Source organism: Homo sapiens, chromosome 1 (assembly GCF_000001405.40).
Source record: "Homo sapiens chromosome 1, GRCh38.p14 Primary Assembly".
Lineage (NCBI taxonomy): Eukaryota > Metazoa > Chordata > Mammalia > Primates > Hominidae > Homo > Homo sapiens.
The window spans coordinates 248,482,433-248,502,565 of NC_000001.11; the positions used below are offsets into that span (position 1 = coordinate 248,482,433).

Sequence of the window (20,133 nt, forward strand, 5' to 3'; positions counted from 1 at the left end):
TTTCTCTGTTTCCTCTGCTTAAAGCATCTCTGCCCCGTTGTTTACGAGTGACTCCATTGTTTCATTTACGGATCTGATGAAATTTCACCTTCTAAATAAAGGGCTCCTAACTAGCCTGTGTTAAATAGATTCGCTAATCATTCCTATCTCATCTCTCTGCCTTTATTTTTTATTTACTGTGATTATTAATACTTGACATTTCATTACATATTTATTAGTTTATTGCCTGTATTTACCACTAGTATATAAATGCTGTGTGGGAAGAATCTTTGTTTCAAACATCATAAACCTAGATAGTGCCTGGAACAAACAGTTACTAATTATTTTTGAAATTAATGAATAAAAGAAAATACCATTCAACATTGGAATTTAATTTTAACTTAAAAGCAATAATGTTAGCAATTCACTGCATATCACACCCAAATAAATTATTTTTGTATTATAACTCAAAGGTACCAAAAAAACCTCTGAAACTCATTAAAAGTGTAAAGGTAGATGCTTTACATAATCCCCAAATGCATAAAGACTTTGTAAGCACAAAACAGTTAACGAAATTATTAAAGTTAATATATTAAACAAAATACTTTAAAAAATTCTGATGACACAAAATATCAGAATGAAACTGAAATAAAAATATTTTAGTTGATACTATTCACAAAGAGTTACTATTTTTTTTCTTTTCTTTTTGAGACAGAGTTTCACTCTTTTTGCCCAGGCTGGAGTGCAATAGCGTGATCTTGGCTCACTGCAACTTCTGCCTCCTAGGTTTGACTGAGTCTCCTGTCTCAGCCTCCCAAGTAGCTTGGATTACAGGCACGTGCTACCACACCAGCTAATTTTGTAGTTTTAGTAGAGATGGGGTTTCACCATGCTGGCCAGGCTGGTCCCGAACTCCTGACCCCAGGTGATCCACCCACCTCGGCCTCTCAAAGTGCTGGGATTACAGGTGTGAGCCACCGCATCTGGCCAGTTATTATTTTCATACCAAAAACACATTTATATTTATGAAGAAAACATTTCAATAGAAGCAGTAGTTACATGGATAAACATGAAAAGTTATATAAACATATTAATTAAAAAAGACAAATAATGATACACCTATGAAATTGACCAAGAAGGAAAAGCACACATAATTCAGAGCTGGTGCAAGTGAAGTTTAATTCTGCAGCAAAATTTGAAGAGGCTTTTGGAAAAGTAATTCAATGTTGTATATTAAGAAGTGTGAATCACCGTATATCAAATGGTAGATTGTCTCAGGGAAAAACTGACATTCAGAGTGTATTTTTTGTATAATTAGTTTTATTTCTGCATAATTTATAATGTTGAAATTTTTAATGTCACTATTCACTCTTAGGAGAAGATTGCAATTGTGATATAATTACTCTGATAGATATTAACTCCAGTAGATACTGTCCAGTCATATACGAACACTACATATTGCAAACCGAAGAGATGTAACACAGAAGATTGGTTAGAGGTGGCAAAGGGTTACAGGGAAGGCTGGAGAAGTGGGCAGGGGAGTGTTGTCATCCAAGGACCAAGAGTCCTCACCACTGGAGCCCCATGTGCCCCTCACTGCTGAGCTGATGGGAACTCTGCACTCCAGGGCTGCTGAGAGAACCCTGCCCTGGTGATGTGCAGCAACCCAGATGCCTGCATCTCCCCAATACGACTGAAACTGCCTCTCAGGTGCTGAAGTCTGAGGCCCCCCATGGTCCCTGTTGCTTATAGCTGCTGACCCACACCCCCATCAGAAACGGAAAAAAGTAGTTTACTTCTTCCTCTCACCCTGCAGTGTCCACCCACAAGGGCCTGCACTCTCAGAGCCTTACGAAAAGTGAAGTAGCAAAGAAGTCAGGACAAACCACGTGCAGGCTGCAGCACTGTGGGTCAGAGACTCCAGCCCTCAAACGTGCACCTAAAAACAGGACATTGTCTAGACAAAGGTGGTCATGAAAAGACCTCCATGATGTAGGAAAATGATCAACATTTTTCCAGAGCACGTCTTTAGAGAAAAGTTCAGAGGAATTTGGCTGCAAGATCTAAGATGGCGGTGCAGTTTCTTCTGTCTTCTTCCCTGTTTTATTCCAACAGCCTAATACAGGGTATACACTCAATGAATATTTGTAGTTTAAAGGGAAGATATAACATGTAAAGTATCATTTTTGTCTGGTTTATTACATTAGAGTCGATTTTAAAATTTTTATTCAACCAGTTTTACTTTAGATTTTTCTATGACTTTAATGACAGTATTTAAAACAAAAACAAAGATAAAAATCAAATGCAACACTAAAGCAATAAAGATTGCAAGTGAGTGAGAGGGAAACAGACTACAATCGGTCCTAATGAAGAGGGAGAAAGATGAAGATATGAAGATGACTCCAATTTTAGTTTTAATCAAGGTACTGATTTGTGGAGGTATCTTTGACACATCAGTTGACCTCTGAGTTTCAGATTCTATACCTGTGAAATGTTAGAATAAAAATAACAATATCTTACAACATTTACTTGAATATTAAATGAAGATCACACATATATATGGAATATATTTTATAATGTGGAAAAGGCTAAGGCTGTATATGAACTAACTCCTACATTTCATAAATAAGATTTTGATGATGATGAGATTTGAGATTACTATTACTAATATTGGTTAAAAGTTTGCATTTCATAACAGAGGTAAAAATTGTAAAAGCTATTAGAAGAAAACCAGAATTGTTCAGGAGAGATACCTACTGACTTCTTTAGCTCTCTTAATTGCATTCTTCTTCAACTCCCAGAGGTGATGTATCAACCGAAAGCTTTCAACCCCTCCCCTAGTGCACACGGTAAAACCAGGCAGGTCACTTTCTTACTCCTGTTGGTGCTCTTAACCTGGCCACACACCACCAGCCCATCTAGGTGAGGTTCAAGACATCATCTGATGGTGAGTTCAGCCAGACAGACAGGAGGTACTAGCAGGAAGAAAAGGGTCATCACTGCTCTCGACTTGTTCTGCTTCTGAAACGTTCTATTAGTTCTTCACAGCATTTCCTCATTTTTTCTTTATCATCTGTTTTTAATGGAGAAAAGCAAATGTTATTCTTTCTTATAACTTCTATACAACACTTATTTACTGTGACATAATGGTAAATAGATTTTTAATTTCCAATTATTTATGGACATAATAATATATATTCTATAGTTTTAGATTTTCATACAATGATGTATTTATTTTCCTGTCACTGAAGTTTTATAGAGGAAAAGTGACTGATTTTCTTTTGAGAGGGGATGATTTCTGAGGGTTACAAAACACTAGAAACAATGTCTCAATCATTTTATGTTTCTTTGATGAAACCCACAGACAGTGGCCTAAATCCAAAGTGTAGACTGCAGAGGGAGGATGGTGTCCCTGAGAGGAATCAGGCAGAGTTACGTGCGCTGGCTCTCTCTCTCGGGCTGAGACGTGCGTTCTATCTCAGGTTAGGTGTGTGATATTAGGCAGGTACCCTGAGAACCTGCATTTTTTAATATGTAAAGAGAGAAAATAATAGGAAGTAACTCATAGGCTCTTGGGAAAGAAGAAATGTAAAGTATTAATTTTAGTATTAGTATTAGAACAATTCCTGGGATGCTGTATGCTTCAAATAAAGATTTGACTCCATTTATACTTACAATAAATCCCCAAGTTAAACATGCATTAAGCAATTTACATGAAAGTCAAACAAGCGGGTACAGAAGAAGAATGAACAGGGGGCCAGTTCACTGTGTGTGGATAGTGTTCCCTTATCTGTCCCGTGTCCTGGTTGAGCTGTTGATAGTGGCTTAATGATAGTGGCTTAATGATAGTGATGGCCATTTCCTAAAGAGCAGCAGAGATTTCTTAGGAAACCCCGCATCTCCCTGCCCTCCTGCTCCCCCTCAATTTACTGAGCAAACACCTTTTAGGTCTTCACATGTGCTGGTCGCTCCTCTGGTCCTTGCTTCACTTTGGCCACAAATAATGGACGAGGTCAGCAGGTGTGTTTTGCAGTTTATTGGAATGTTTTTAAATTGTACACAGATCTCAGCCACCATTTGCCAGTAGGGGTAGTGTTTGATACACATTATCTATCTATCTATCTATCATCATCATCTATTCATATATATACATATGTACATAAAATGTGTCTCAGATTTGTTGGATATTTATATTAAAGCACCGAAGCATCCCAGAATGTTGGAAGTTTTGGTGAGTTGAATGTCTTAAATACTTTTTGTAATTACTACAAGAATACAAAATATATTTGAAACTTGTAAATTCATTCCAAAATGTCCCTGCATCATAATCACAGCTAAAGTCTTCCCAGAAAGAGGAGTTATTATGTCCTTATTCTTGGCAAGGGCTCTCAAAATTTAACATTTAATATGTCAGAAGTTGAAAAGTTGGAAAGTTTTAATTTCTTTCAGAGAAAATGTGGAAACAGCTATTATGGATTATTTCAGAACGGCCAGATATATTTTGTGTCTATTGCCCTTATTTATTTTGTAACTATTTAAAAATTCAACTTCAAATCACATTTACATAATAGTTGTTCCCTGAATAGACTGACTGTGACCTCCTTAAGTGCACTCAAGTTCAATTTTTCTTTGATTCATCTTCTGCATATAACACAGAGGCTGTGAGTATCATGATAGAGAAGGAAACAGTGAGTTGAAGTCAGAGGCGATTCATCGTCAGTATAACACAGGCTGTGAGTGTCACGGTAGAGGGAGAAACAGTGAGTTGAAGTCAGATGCCTCAGTGTTGTTTGATTTTCCTCCCTGCTTCTCAGTTTGTATGAAAGATTGATTGTGGCAAGTAATAAAGCACATGAGGTTTGCAAAAACAACTAAAGCCTTGTCTGATAAACAGCAGTGACCCTCCAAATTCTAGTTCTTCCTCGCTGAGATTTAATGAGCTTTAAAATGAGAGGAGCTTTAAGGAGATGAGGTTGGAGGACCACATACTAGGCAGGAAGGACATAGGAGTCTCCAAAAAGCTCTGCATAACCAGGGTTAAAATAAGAAATGTTATAGTTATATATTCACCTGTGTATGTTTACATAAATATATTATATATATTTATATAAAACCAGAGTATTTACACATAAACACACAAATATAAAATCCAAATTGTTTTTTTTTAAAGTGGGTCATATGCTTTATTTTGCAGAACTTCTGCCATTTTTATTTTGAAAGTCAGCTTCTTAAATGTATGAATAGGTACTGAATCTGGAGAATGGAAGTAATATATCTTATATAATAATAGTAGCAACAATCTCTTAGGTTGTGCAGAATAGTTAGCTTAAAGAGTTAACATCTACACTAAGAGTATATGTGTTTATTCATCGGAAACTGTACTATTCTAAGCACTTTCATTACATTTCCTCATTTTACCCTCACCACACCTGAGCTCAAACATGATTTTTATCCTTTTTGATGTAGATTGGAGAAAGGAATGGCAGACAGAGAAAAAGGTGGACCCATAGCTGGAGTCTACTGTGTGTGGGCTCCTCACTTCACGTCTCTCGATGTCTAAAGGGTCAGCTGTGTGTGAGGACCCTTCCCTGCTCATGAGAATGTGAGGCTCGCTCCACGCAATCACAGAGCCTCACAGCATGGCCTGATCCTATGGGAGGAGGAGGTTCAAACATCTGGCATAATTTTTTTTCCAAGTTACGCTTTAGTTACTTGCTAAATCTTTCTTATATCATATATACCTCTGAGTATTTTGAAGATGCCTATTGTTTCTTAAACCAGCGATGTTGATTCAATTCAGCTGTCTATGACAAAAACTCTACAATAAGGAGTTTGCTTTATCTTTCTTTCAATGAGTCACTGTTTGTGTTAGCAGAGGAGGGAGGTTCTGCAAATTTTCAGTACTTGTTGATAAATGGCATTATCATCAGGAAAGTTTATGAATTTGAACCGTGACAACCTTACTATCAGTTACCAATTCTTCTGGCCTATAGTTGTGAATTCTTAGTTTGTTTTGTGAATTTGTTATATGTCATTTATATACTCAAATCCCCAGACCCACGGGACTCAGGTTAGCACAATGAGCATACACAAATGTGAGTACTCACGAAACACTCATTACAAAGGGACGCGTTACACTGACTCCAAAACTCTCCTTGGTGGCCTAGGTGAAACCTCATGGCCAACATCACCAGGATGGCCAACCACACTGGAAAGTTGGATTTCATCCTCATGGGACTCTTCAGACGATCCAAACATCCAGCTCTACTTAGTGTGGTCATCTTTGTGGTTTTCCTGAAGGCGTTGTCTGGAAATGCTGTCCTGATCCTTCTGATACACTGTGACGCCCACCTCCACAGCCCCATGTACTTTTTCATCAGTCAATTGTCTCTCATGGACATGGCGTACATTTCTGTCACTGTGCCCAAGATGCTCCTGGACCAGGTCATGGGTGTGAATAAGGTCTCAGCCCCTGAGTGTGGGATGCAGATGTTCCTCTATCTGACACTAGCAGGTTCGGAATTTTTCCTTCTAGCCACCATGGCCTATGACCGCTACGTGGCCATCTGCCATCCTCTCCGTTACCCTGTCCTCATGAACCATAGGGTCTGTCTTTTCCTGGCATCGGGCTGCTGGTTCCTGGGCTCAGTGGATGGCTTCATGCTCACTCCCATCACCATGAGCTTCCCCTTCTGCAGATCCTGGGAGATTCATCATTTCTTCTGTGAAGTCCCTGCTGTAACGATCCTGTCCTGCTCAGACACCTCACTCTATGAGACCCTCATGTACCTATGCTGTGTCCTCATGCTCCTCATCCCTGTGACGATCATTTCAAGCTCCTATTTACTCATCCTCCTCACCGTCCACAGGATGAACTCAGCAGAGGGCCGGAAAAAGGCCTTTGCCACCTGCTCCTCCCACCTGACTGTGGTCATCCTCTTCTATGGGGCTGCCGTCTACACCTACATGCTCCCCAGCTCCTACCACACCCCTGAGAAGGACATGATGGTATCTGTCTTCTATACCATCCTCACTCCGGTGCTGAACCCTTTAATCTATAGTCTTAGGAATAAGGATGTCATGGGGGCTCTGAAGAAAATGTTAACTGTGAGATTCGTCCTTTAGGAAATTATAAAGTAGGAAATTTGGATATAAAGATTTATTTTCCTTTTCTCTACCCATCAGATACTTAGGATTTTATCCCTGTTATTCCTTAGACTCTCATACAATGATGCCTCATCTCATATTCATCTCATTTTGAGGAATTCTTTCACTGTGTGGAAACTCTATTTTATAGTCTTTGTCCATCCAAAATTCTTTTACAATTGTGTTATACTAATGTAACATTTTTGGAAGTTGATAACTGTTCTCTAATTTTGTGAAAAAATATTCTTAACCTCAGGAAATACTTAATATTTAGAGACAAAAAGGTCATGAGGTGTTCAAATGATGAGAGGGAAAGAGGGAGGGAGATAGAGAGGGGCAATGAAACAAACTGAGTTCAATGTTGCTGCCACACATGAGTATGGGTAAAGGGTATATAGGTATTAATTGTACTATTGTTTTTTAATGATTTTTGTGAAGTTGAAATCATTTACAAATAATTAAATACCAGGCTTTTCTCCCTTTTTGAAAATATTCTCCTTTCTGCTTGGTGGCAGTGTGACATCTTAGAAATCATGCTCATTTCATTATATCTAATCATTACCAAGAAAATCCAGTCATCGCCCCTTCTTTATTGAGGGCTACATTTTTCTGCATGGTCCAATTCTGATGGCGTCTAGTGGATTTATCTCTCCGAAATAATTACTGCCATGTGGTGTATTGAGGATGTAGGACCACATAAGTGACTGCAGAAAAAATATGACACCTGAGTGGAAGGAGTTTTAAGGAAGGTTACCTGCCCAGGGTGATTCCTGAGCTGAGATTTCAAACATGTAACTTGTTATACAAACAAGCAGAGGGATGGCATCAACATTCAATCCTTCATTTATTTAACAAGCATTTTGTACTATTTTATAATTAAAAATAGTTAAATAAGATTAAATTTTGAATAGCACATGGCTTTTACCAAGGAGTTTGAAAAATACATGTAGTTGTTTATGCAAACAAATGTAAGAAAATAAATAAGCTGTTTTGATACTCGTGTGAAGGGTGCAGCTCATAAGGACACACTAATTCTATCTGTGACATCTGAGTTCAAACAAGGAGCTGAGAGGAGACTCCGGGGCTCAGTGCTGAATAGTGACGAAAAGTTACCCTCAGATGAGTGTGTGATGTTGGAGCCAGGGGAACTTGCTGAGACACGCTGCAAGGGAAAAGGCACAGCATGAGCAAAGACAGGGCTGAGCAAGCGAGAGAGATCAATGCCCAGTAGATCTTTCTTATTTCATGTTAGGCTTATTTCTTGCCCTTGTGTGGCCCAGGGTTTTACAAACAATAGTGAAATGATCAGATTTGTATTTTAGAAATGTTATTTGTGTGGTGATCAATTGGAGATGTGCAAGACCAAAAACATAGAGACCAGGTACATGAGAATGGTAATCTAAATGATGTTGATCTAAGTGGAGTCGACCATGCCTTTACCCGAGAATAGGCTGATAGGAGGGCATTTGAGGTGGGGCCTGCTGAACCTGTTACCTAAAAGCATACATGTGGTAGCTGCATGCTATAACTTCCTAATTGGCTATGTACAACTTGCGAATAATCAGGTGTTTTCAACAGTACACATTCTTCTTTTCTCTCACCACACTCAATTATTTTATGACTATAATATAAAGATTCTGTAGTGCTTTGGAAAAATATGAGAGAACTAGTTTTTAATATTTTTCCTGAACTCAGACAATATAAAATGCATACTCTAACTTTGTATGAATTAAAGAGCATTTGTCAACTCTCAATTTGCTGGATTATAATTATAGACACATTTGATGGTTATCTTTAAAACATCCTTGTGAAAGGAAATGTAGCAAAATTTCATGAAAAATGATTTTTGTAGAGCTTTATTGTGCTAAAAATTGTTAGCTGCCTAAAATAACCTGTTATAATATGTTGGTAAGTCTCGTGGTAACTACAAAGCAAAAACCTGTAGTAGACATACAAAAATTTTTAAAAAACAAGGAATCAATGCATACCACTAGAAAAAACATCATTTAACCGTAAAAGAAGATAGTAAGAATGGAAGAAAAGAACAAAGTCTCTAGAAAACAACTGGAAAACTAACAAAATTGTAGCATTAAGTCCCTATGTATCAAAAATTATCTTAAATGTAAATGTATTAAATTATCCAATCAAAAGATATCTGGTGGCAGAATGTATAAAAAATGCCAACTACAACAGGTTACTTTAACCTGCAAGGACATATGCAGACGAAGTGAAGTGGTTGAAAAGGATATCCCATGCAAGTCGTAACCAGAAAAGAGCAGGAGTAGCTATGCTTATATCAGATAAAATAGACTGAAGTCCAGAACTGTAGAAAGAGACAAAGAAGATCATATATAATGATTAAAAAGTCAATTCAACAAAAAGTATATAATAATTGTGACTATGTATGAAACATTAACCTAAATACATAAAGTATTAATAGATCTAAGGGGATAGATAGCAATAAAATAATACTAAGAAACTTCAACACCCCTCTTTCAGCCATGGAAAGACTATCCAGACAGGAGGTAAACAATGAAATAACAGCTTCAAGTTGCACTCTAGGGCAATGGACCTAAAAAGCATATGCAAAACATTTTATTCAGTAGCTGCAGAATACACATTATACTCGATTGCACATGAAACATTTTCTAGGTTAGATCACATGTTTGACCACAAAAAAGTCTTAAAGATAAGAAGTTCAAAATAATATCAATCATCTTTTCTGATCACAGCAGTTTATAAACGAATGCAAGAATTCTCAGAAAGTTTACAAATAAATGGTGATTAAATAATATGCTCCTAAACAATAGATGGGTCAATGAAAAAATTAAAAGGGAAAATAAAAGGTTGTTTGAGACAAATAAAAATGGAAAACTCAACATACCAAAACCTACAGGACACAGCAAAAGCAGTTCAAAGAGGAAGTTTATAGTTTATAGCAATGAATGGCTACATCAATAAAGAAGAAAGACTTCAAATAAGGAAAGGTAATATTGTACCTTAATTAACTAGAAAAACAAGAATAAGCTAAACTCAAAATTAGTAGATACATTAATATTGATTAGAGGAGAAATAAAAAAATGATAAAAACAATGCAAAACATCAGATGAGTTGTTTTGTGAAAAAACAAAATAAACTAGACTAAGAAGGTTCAAATCAGAAATTTACAAAGGATATATTACAACTGAGGCCACAGAAATACAAAAGATTATGAAAGTATAATGAATAATTGCATGTCAAAAATTAGATAAGCTGGAAGACATGAATTGACTGATACATAAATCCTACGATAGTAAATCTTAGCAAACCAATAATGAATAATGCAGTGAAGTAGTAATAAAAGTCTCCCACCAGAAAAAAAAAAAAAAAAGCCCAGGACAATATGGACTCATTGCAAAATTCTATCAAAAATTTAAAGAACTAATACCAATTATTCTCAAACACTTCCAAAAAATTGAAGAAGTGGGAATACTTTCAAATTCATTATACAAGGCCAGAATTATCCTAATACCAAAGCCAGAGAAGGACATGGGAATGAAAAAGGAACTACAGGTCAATATCATTTGGGAACATGGATGTAAAATTCCTCAAAAAATGCTAGAAAACTGAATTTAAAAGCACATTTCAAAAAGCATTCATCATGATAAAATGGGATTCATCCCAGGGATGCAAGGATGCTTCAACAGATGCCAATTAATAAACATCACATAGCACAGTAACAGAATGAATGATACAATTTTATGATTATTTAGGTGGAGAGAAGCATTTGACAAAATTCCAAAACTCTCAACAAATTAGGTATACAAGGAATGTATCTCACCATAACAAAGGCCATATATGATAAGCCTACAGCTGACATAATACTTAATGATGAAATGTTGAAAGCTTTTTCTCTAAGATCCAGCAAAAGACCAGAACGGTCACTCTTGCCACTTTTATGTAACATAGCACTGAAAGTCCCAGCTAAAGCAATTAGGGAAGAAAAATAAATAGAAATGTAAATAGGAAAGGAAGAAGTGACATGTTTCTGTTTGTTAATAAAGTAATATTACATATAAAAAAACATAAAGCCTTCAACAAAAACTATTCCCTAACAAATTCAGGAAAGTTTCAGGAAATCAACAGACAGAAATTGGAGTTTCTATACTCTAACAGCAAACTGTATCTTTAAAAAGTTAAGAAAGACTCATAGAGAGGAGTTATAGCAACAAGATAGATGAATAGAAGATCCTCCAGCATCATTCATCCACACCCACAAAAATAGAACTGGAAACTATTCAAAAACAATAACATCCTGAATTCCCATGAATTCAGGAGAGAAAAAAGAGAAGCTGTGTCTGGTCTTAGAGCAATTAGGTAAAAGAAGGAAACAAAGGCCTCCAAATTGGAAAGAAGGAACTGAAATTTTCCCTGTTTACAGATGACATGGTCATATATTAAAAAAATCCTAATGACACCAGCAAAAACTGTGAGAACTGATAAATGAATTCAGTAAATTTGCAAGATACAAAATCAACATACAAAATTAGCATTTATATATGCCAACAGTGAGCAATCTGAAAGAGAAATAAGGCAATCCCATTTACAAAAACTAAAGTAAATACAAAATAACTAGGAATAAATTTAGCCAAAGTAAAAGATCTCTTCAAGAAAAACTATACAACTCTAATGAAAGAAATTGAAGAGATCACAAATAAATGGAAAGATTCCCCATGTTCGTGGATTAGAAGAATTGATATCATTAAAATGTCCATCTACCAAAAGAGAGCTACAGAATTAAGGCAATCACTATCCGAATACAAAAGATATTCTTCAGAGATAGAAAAAAACAATCCTAAAGTTCATATGGAAGCAAAAAAGACTCCAAATAGCCAATGCAATTCTGAGCAAAATGAATGAATATGTAGGCATCATACTACCCGATATACTACAAGCTATTAAACATCAAAAGAGAATGGTACTGGCATAAAAGCAGACACACAAACAGAAGAGAACCCCTGAGAGTCCAGATATAAATTCACTCATTTATAGTCAACTGATGTTTGACCAAGTTGAAAAGAACATACACCAAGAAAAGCACTACTTCCTCAATAAATGGTGATGCAAAAAATGCATATCCAAATACAGAATGAAACTAGACACTTATTTCACTATTTTAAACTCAAATTGGATTAAAGACTTTAATATCAGATCTTAAACTGTAAAACTTCTGGTAGAAAACACAGGCAGAATGCATCATCACTACATTGATCTGGGCAAGAATTTTTAAAGTAGAACCTCAAAATCACAGGGAAAAATTAAAAAATTAAAAAATGAGATTACATCATACTGAAAGGTTCTTCACAATAACGAAAACAATTCACAGAGTGAATAGATAACATACGAGTGGGAGAAAAGATTTGCCAACAATGCATTTGACAAGGGGTTCATATCCAGAATATATAAAGAACTCAAGTAACTGAGTACCAAAATTATCCCACAAATAATTTGATTTAAAAAATGGGCAAAAGACATCAAAAAACATATTTCAAAAGAAGACATACAAATGGCTAGCACGTATATGACAAAGTGCTCAACATCACTAATCATCAGGGAAAGGCAAACTGCAATGTCTTGGATGGACATGGTATCTTTCACTTTGAAACTGGAGTCCTGCAGGCCATTTTGAATATTGTTCATGTTTCCTAACACACCCAAGTTGGCAGAAGACCCCCTATTTAGGTCTAATACCTGCTGTTTATGCTCAAATAGGCCCAGGCAATACAAGTTTTGGCTATGACTCCAGTTATGTATATTTCTGGAAGAAACAATAGATGGGTATAAAATAAAGTATGGTAGAGTGAAATCATCATACCTGTACAGGAATGTAAATTTGGAGGTCATTTTTCTTATCAGGACACATCACACGGGGAATGTGTTTCTTTAGTAAATGTTGTGTACTCCTTTAGATATACTTATAACAAACCAACGATGCATGGCATCAGGATAAGTTTAGAAATAATTACTAAACGAGATTCCATAGGGTAGAGACAAGAAATTAGATTTTGCCTATGTTCAAGTGGGAGAATACCCATTTCAAATACCCAAGATTATAGAAGAAGGAATGAAAAAGTTTCAACTTTAAGCTGCTGAGGGAAGCTTGAAAAGAATTTAGTCTGACATTTGATATTCTTTATAACCATGTGACTAATTACTCAGATGGTACTTAGGAATTAAGAAAAGTCATTAACCTACAAAAAGCCCGAAGTATAAGAAAACACAGTTAAAGGTGTGTTTTTTAATTGTCTTTGCTGGATTCGGTTAGTTCAATAGCCTTGTCTTCAAGCTCTGAACTTGTTTCTTCTACTTGTTTGATTCTATTTCTGAGATTTTCCAGTGTATTTTGCATTTTTCTAGTGTGTTCTTGATTTCCAGCAGTTGTGATTGTTTTTTATTTATGCTATCTGTTTCTCCGGAGATTTTTCCATTCATGTCCTGTAACACATTTTTAAATTTAAGTTGGTATTCACCTTTCTCTGGTACTTTGTTGAGTAGCTTAATAATTGACCTTCTTAATTCTTTTTCTGGCAATTCAGAAATTTCTCCTTTGTTTGAATCCATTGCTGGTGAGCTAGTGTGATCTTTGGGGGTGTCAGAAAACCTTGTTTTGTCATATTTTCAGAATGGTTTTCCTGGATTTTTCTCATTTGGGTAGACTATGTGAGAGGGAAGTTCTGGGGCTAAAGGGCTGCTGTTGAGATTCTTTTGTCCCATGGGGTGCTCCCTTGATGTGGTGCTCTACCCCTTCTTCTAGGGATGGGGGTTCCTGAGAAACAAAGTGCAGAGATTGTTATTTCTCTTCCACATCTAACCACCCAGCGAAGCTACTGTGCTCTGGTACTGGCTGGTACCGGAGAGTGTCTGCAAAGAGTCTTGTGGTATGATCTGTCTTCAGGTCTCTCAGCCATGGATACCAGCACATGCTGTGGTGGAGGGAGCAGGGGAGTGAAGTGGACTCTGTGAGGGTCCTTGGCTGTATTTTTGATAAGTTTGCTGGTTGGTCTCCAGCCAGCAGTTGATTCTTTCAAGAGTTGCATCAGCTGCAGTAGTGTAGGGAAGATACGAGCTTGCCTTAGGGTTACCTGGATAAGTATCCAGATTTCTCAGGCAATGGGCCGGGCCTCAGAGCTCCCATGAGATTATGTCCTTTGTCTTTGGCTCCCAGGGTGGGTAGAGAAAGGCCAAGAGGTGGGGGCAGTGTTAGGCGTGTCTGAGCTGAGACTCTCCTTGGGCGGGGCTTGCTGTGTGGCTGCTGTGTGGGATTGGGGTGTGGTCCTCAGACTGATGGAGTTATGTTTCCACGGGGATTATGAGTGCCTCTGCTGGGTCATGCAGGTCACCAGAGAAGGGGGGGAACGGGCAGTTACATGCTTCACTCAGCTCCCAGGCAGCCCAAAAGGCCAGTCTCACTCCCACCTTGTGCCCCCAGTAGCACTGAGTTTTTTCCAGGCAGCTGGTGAGCAGGGCTGAGAACTTGCCCCAGGCTACAAGCCCCTCATGAAGAAAGCAAGCAGGGCTTTTAGGTTTCATGCCTCTCTGCCTGCCTCAGCTTCTGAGCTTGTATCTGCACTCCCAGTTTGCCCCCTCCCCCAGGTTCTGTCCAGGAAGCTTCACGTTAGTCAAGATTATTACAAAATTCATCTGAAAGCTTGCTTCTCCTTGTAGTCTTTCCCCAATTCCACTGGCAGCCCTCCCAAAGGACCCCTGCAAGACAAAGTCCGAAATGGTTTCCCACAGGGCTCTTCTTGTTGTTTCCTCTACTCGAATATTTTGCTTGGCTCTCTAAATTCCTCTTAGCTCCGCGTAAGATTAAATCCTTTTCCCACCATGTGGACCGTCAGGTTCCCCAGTGAGGATCTGTGCTTGGGGGTGGAGCATCCCCCTTTTACACTTTCACACATTTTGGCACTCAGTCTTTGGCACGGAGCCTACAGTGGCCGCCACCTCCTTCAAAGGGTCTTTGGATTCTCTTGGCTTTCCTGGTATGTCCTATGGTAGTTCTTGGAGCAAAAGTTCACAGCGTGAATCTCCACATGCTGCTCTGTCCATCCAAGTGGGAGCTGCAAGTTAGTCCTGCCTCCTATCTGCCATCTTCCTCTTCTGGAGTCCACGAAAAGGATTATAAACAAACTATTTTGTTGGGAGTAATAATGTGGTCCTGGCCTAGTGTGAAGTGAAGCTCACTCCAGGCCATTTCTCTCAAGCTGTGTTAATTTGTACCCTTCAGCAGTTTATGAGAGGTTCATTTCCATAGGCCCCCACATCTACAACTAGGGGATTTCATATATCTAATCTGAGCAGGGACATTGGTTCTACATGGAGACAGTGCAGAGATGAGCTGTGCTTGAGGCCTCACCTGTAGGTGGTAGGGTCTAGACCGGGAGACAGGCATTGGCCAACAGAAATAAAGGACACAAAGTGATGTCCTTCTCCACTCACTTCAGCTTTTCTTCAACACTATTTCAGATGCTTCCTTCCTGGCTTAGCTCTTCATTCAAGGTGAGATATTATGGGAACAGGATTGTGGGGGCAGGTGGCCCCAGGTATGGAGACTAAGGGGAGGTGTACATGGCAAGAGAGAAGCCAGAATATGGGGATGAGAAAGGAACAAGCTGTCTGTGGTAGTCATCCATGATTGAGATGATGTGTGGACCCTGAGTCAGACTACCTGGTTCAAATGCAGGCTCTCTACTTTTTACCCATTTGATCTTGGCCTGTGGCTCTCTACTTCTTATCCATTTCATCTTGGACTTGTGGCCTCTCATACCTCATCTTCCTTACAGTCCTCCATATGAAATCCCCCTAAAGTAGGAACAAAGCTTTGGCCAACTGCTCCTCCCATCTTTCCGTGGTCTTTACTTAGGAACTGTGTGTTTAATATACGTGACACAGGGTTTCTCCCACATCCCTGAGCAGAAACAAGCTGTGTCTGTATTTTGCACTGTACTCACCCCCATGCTAAACCCCCTCATCTACATCCTGAGAAACAAGGATGTGGTGGGGCTCTTCAGAAAGTTCTGGGAACACATCAAGTCTCTAAACAGAACACATAAATATCAATGTGGAAAACAACGGTAGAGGGCCAAGATGCAAAGACTTCAGGAGCATCTCATTTTCCAGCATGAGGAATGTTGCTCCATCGTATGAGAAAACCATTTGGTTCAATTTAATTTGAAATATTAATTTGCTCATAAAAAGCTTAAGGGCTGGGTGCGGGGGCTCATGCCTGTAATCCCAGCACTTTGAGAGGCCTAGGCTGGCAGATCATTTAAGGTCAGGAGTTTGAAACCAGCCTGGCCAACATCGTGAAGCCCTTTCTCTACTAAAAATAGAAAACTTAGCCAGGCACGGTGGTAGGTACCTGCAACCCCAGCTACTTGGGAGGCTGATGTGGGAGAATCACTTGAGCCCGGGAGGCGGAGGTTGCAGTGAGCAGAGATCTCACCACTGCACTGCAGCCTGGGACACAGAGCAAGACTCTGTCTCAAAAATAAATAAATAAATAAATAATGAAAAGCTTAAGAACTTTTTATCTAGTTTCTAACCATTGTTTCAAAATGGCTGAACTCAACTGTGTTTCTCCTTGAAGCTAGATGATAAGCATAGACAAAGTTCCAGTCTTCTCTCTTTTTACCTGCTTTAGCCATTTCTCAGTATCCTTTGAAGCTCAACTCTGTCCAGGTATTGCTAATCTCCATTGTTGTAAGCATCAGCTTCCTAGGAAAGACAAAAGTGTGATTTCTCAGGGGCAATAATAACACAATAGATTTTCTTTTCTCTTGATTGCTCTGGAAATCCCAACATGTTGGCTCTATTCTCTTATCCTGTCTCGGGTGGAAACTTCTGGTGATTCTCAGATAAGCAATAACTCAGCTGATATATAATACAAGAAGATTTTCTCTTCTATAATAAATACAGCAAGCCTTGAGTAATAGTACGTAATCTGTGGGTGAGCAAGGAACAATAGGCTTCTCTCTTGACTTTGTAAGTTCCTCCCATTCTCACTAGCTCTAGATGCTTACTCTTCCTCGAGTCAGTGCAGGTGGAACTCAGGGGATAGAGTGGAAGTAGGGGCTAGAAAAGCCCTACCTACCTTCCACCAATACAGAGAAGCTTCCCTTCAATTTTTGGTGGTTTGATTATAATATGTCTTAGGGGTAGTTTTGTTTGGATTGAATCTGATTGGTTACTTTTTACCTCACTGTACCTGGTTATTTATATCTTTTTCCAGGTTTGAAAAGTTTTCTATTATTTCTTCATATAAGCTTTCTACTCCTTTATCATTTCAACTCCCTTATCTCCAATGACTCAAAAATTTGCTGTTTTGTTGCTGTCCAGTAAATCTCATGTTTCCTTTATTATTTTTCATTCTTTTCTCTTCTCTATTTTCATATAACCTGTATTTGAGTTCACAGATTCATTGGCTTGATCCATTCTGCTGTTGATGGTCTCAACTGCAGTTTACATTTTGTTCATTATATTTTGCAGCTTTAGAATTTGTTTGATTTTTAAGTTATTCCAATATTTGCTAAGTTTATCATTGTGGTCATATTATTTTTATCGTTTGTTTGAATAGTTTCTGTGTATTTTCTTGAAGTTTGCTGAGCTTCCCTAAGACTGTTATTTCAAATGCTTTGTCAGGTAGTTTATGCATCTCCATTTGTTTGCTTGGTGATGTATGCTTCCTTGATTTCTCTTGCGTCTGCAGTCATGCATCTAATATAATAGGTACTTATTCCAGTCTTTGCAGACTTGTTTTATCCTGAAACATTCTTCAATAGTAAGCCTGTCTAGAGATTCTGAGCAGGTTGTCTGGTGTGGTCCCTAAGCTCTAGTTTGCTGTGGTGGGGGCAGCCCTAGGTGGTGCCCTAAGCCTGGGACTGCCACGACTGGTGCAGTGCAGTGCTGTAATCCCATGGCCACTGGAACTGGTGTGGGTCCCAGATGATATCCTGTGGCCACTGGGGCTGGTGCAGCACTGATGCAAGTCTGAAGCCCATGTTCACTGAGGCCTGCCTGCCAGTGGATACTTTCCAGAGCTTAAGGCCACTCTGGGTGGGTGGCAGTGATGATGACTGCAAATTAATTCTGCTTTGCATGGTTTCTGCCTAGTGTTGGTGTAGATCTGGAGGCTCGGTCTTTGTGTACTGGCCTGGAGTCAGTGGTTGTGGGGGCTGCCTGGTTTTCAGTTTTTCTGTAGTGGGCCTAGTGTTGGGCACCAAGACCAAGTCCCACACTTACTTCCCTTTTTATTCCCCAAGTGTTTGGTATCTCTCCCTGCACTGTGCTGTCTGAGGTTGGGGATAAGAAATGCAGGTAATCAGAACTCTCCTTCCTGCCCTCTTCAATGTTTATTATTTTATCACAAGAAGAAAATAGTATAACTAGGTACAATGATCTCTCACATGGCTTTACTAGCTTTTGTGAAGGTATGTAGTGTAAGAATAGTTATTAAAATTGATGTTTCTATGGGGATACAATTGTTAAAGAATTCCGTTCTGCCAGCTTTCCCACTCTCCTCTCTTTTCACTTTTTTGATTGAGACCTTTGAAGCACAAAAATTTTGAAGTTAGATGAGGTCCAATTATTTATTTTCTTATTGCTCGTTCTTTCGGTATCATGCTAAAAAAAATGCTAAACTTAAGGTCTTGAATATTTAACTTCATCTTTTCTCATATTTTTATAATTTTACTTCTTATGTTTAGGTCCCTGATCAATTTGAGTTTAAGTATGATTTGTAATGCCACTTCATTCTTTTGTTTGTGGATATCTTCTTGTCTGAGCACAATTTGTTAAAGTGAGTATTCTTTTCCCATTGAATGGACGTGGCACACTTGTCAGATGATTATTGACCATAGACACATGCGTGTATTTCTCATTAGATTCTCAATTGTCTTCTATTTATTTATGCATATATCCTTATTCTGTTATCAGGCTTTTAAAATTAGTGTATCTTTTTGGCAAATTTTGTACTCAGGAAGTGTAAATCTTCCAACTTTGTTTTTCTATTCAAGGTTGTTTTGGATTTTGCAGTCGCTCGTAATTTCATATGATTTTTAGTGTTTTCTACTCTTGCAAAAAAAAAAAAAAGGCATGGAATTTTTATAGGCATTGTATTGAACCTGTGGATATATTTTGGTTGTATTATCTTAACCACAAGTCTCCCAATCCATTAACATGCGATGTTGTTTCATCAGTTTATGTTTTATTTGCTATTAGCAGTGCTTTGTAATTTTCAGTGTGTTGTTTAACACTACTTTAAGTTTCTTCTTGAGTAAGTGTTGGTAGTTTCTGTGTTTCCAGGATTTGGTTTTCATCTCACTGAAGGTATCTAGTTAGTATTCAATTATTTGTAATATTCTCTTATAATTGCTTGTGTTTCTGAAAGGCTAGTTGTTATGTACCCATGTTATATTCATATTTATGTATTCATGATGTAAGACTTCTCTCTTTCTCTCTTTGGTAAGTTTACCTAAAGTTTTCTATATTTTGTTGATCTTTTGAAAGCTCGAAATAGTCAAATTGTTTTTTCTATTCTGCATTTTATTAATCTCTATTCCAATACTTTTTTTTCCTTCTGTTTGCTTTGTATTGAGTCTGCTCTTCTTTTTCTAGTTCCTTAAGGTGTAAAAATATATTATTGTTTTTAGATGTTTCTTCTTTTTTTGAGTATAGGCAATCTAGCTAAAATTTTCCTTCTAAGAGTTGCTTTAGCTGCATCCTATATGTTTTGTTATGTTTTAAGTCATCTGAATATATTTTCTAACTTCATTTCCAATTTCTTTTTTGACCCACCGGTGCTTCACAGTGTGGTGTTTAATCCCCACATATGTGTAACTTTTGTAGTTCTCCCTCTATTTCAGATTTCCAGTTTTATTTCATTGATTGGAAAAGATACTTTGAATTAAATCTTTTAAAATTTAGTCTTATTTGTTTTTGGCAATTTATCCTGGAGAATGTGTTATTAGT

General features: G+C 37.9%; 1 protein-coding gene, 1 long non-coding RNA gene and 1 pseudogene across 3 annotated transcripts in view; 2 read left to right on the forward strand and 1 right to left on the reverse strand.

Annotated features, from left to right (window-relative positions):
• Positions 1–2,188: 2,188 nt before the first annotated feature.
• LOC105373277 (uncharacterized) overlaps positions 2,189–20,133 on the reverse strand; it is a 52,164-nt gene continuing 34,219 nt past the window's right edge. For both annotated transcript variants that reach the window (XR_002958498.2, XR_001738575.2), the window contains exons 2-3: positions 16,799–16,881; positions 2,189–3,052 (exon numbers count right to left, since the gene is read on the reverse strand). This is a non-coding gene — a long non-coding RNA (uncharacterized LOC105373277). The remainder of the gene's footprint in view (positions 3,053–16,798; positions 16,882–20,133) is intronic.
• OR2T5 (olfactory receptor family 2 subfamily T member 5) lies at positions 6,157–8,681 on the forward strand. Its single transcript, NM_001004697.2, has one exon. The coding sequence runs from the start codon at positions 6,157–6,159 to the stop codon at positions 7,102–7,104; it is 948 nt and encodes a 315-aa protein (NP_001004697.1). The 3' UTR covers positions 7,105–8,681.
• On the forward strand, positions 15,879–16,228 carry OR2AS2P (olfactory receptor family 2 subfamily AS member 2 pseudogene; annotated as a pseudogene).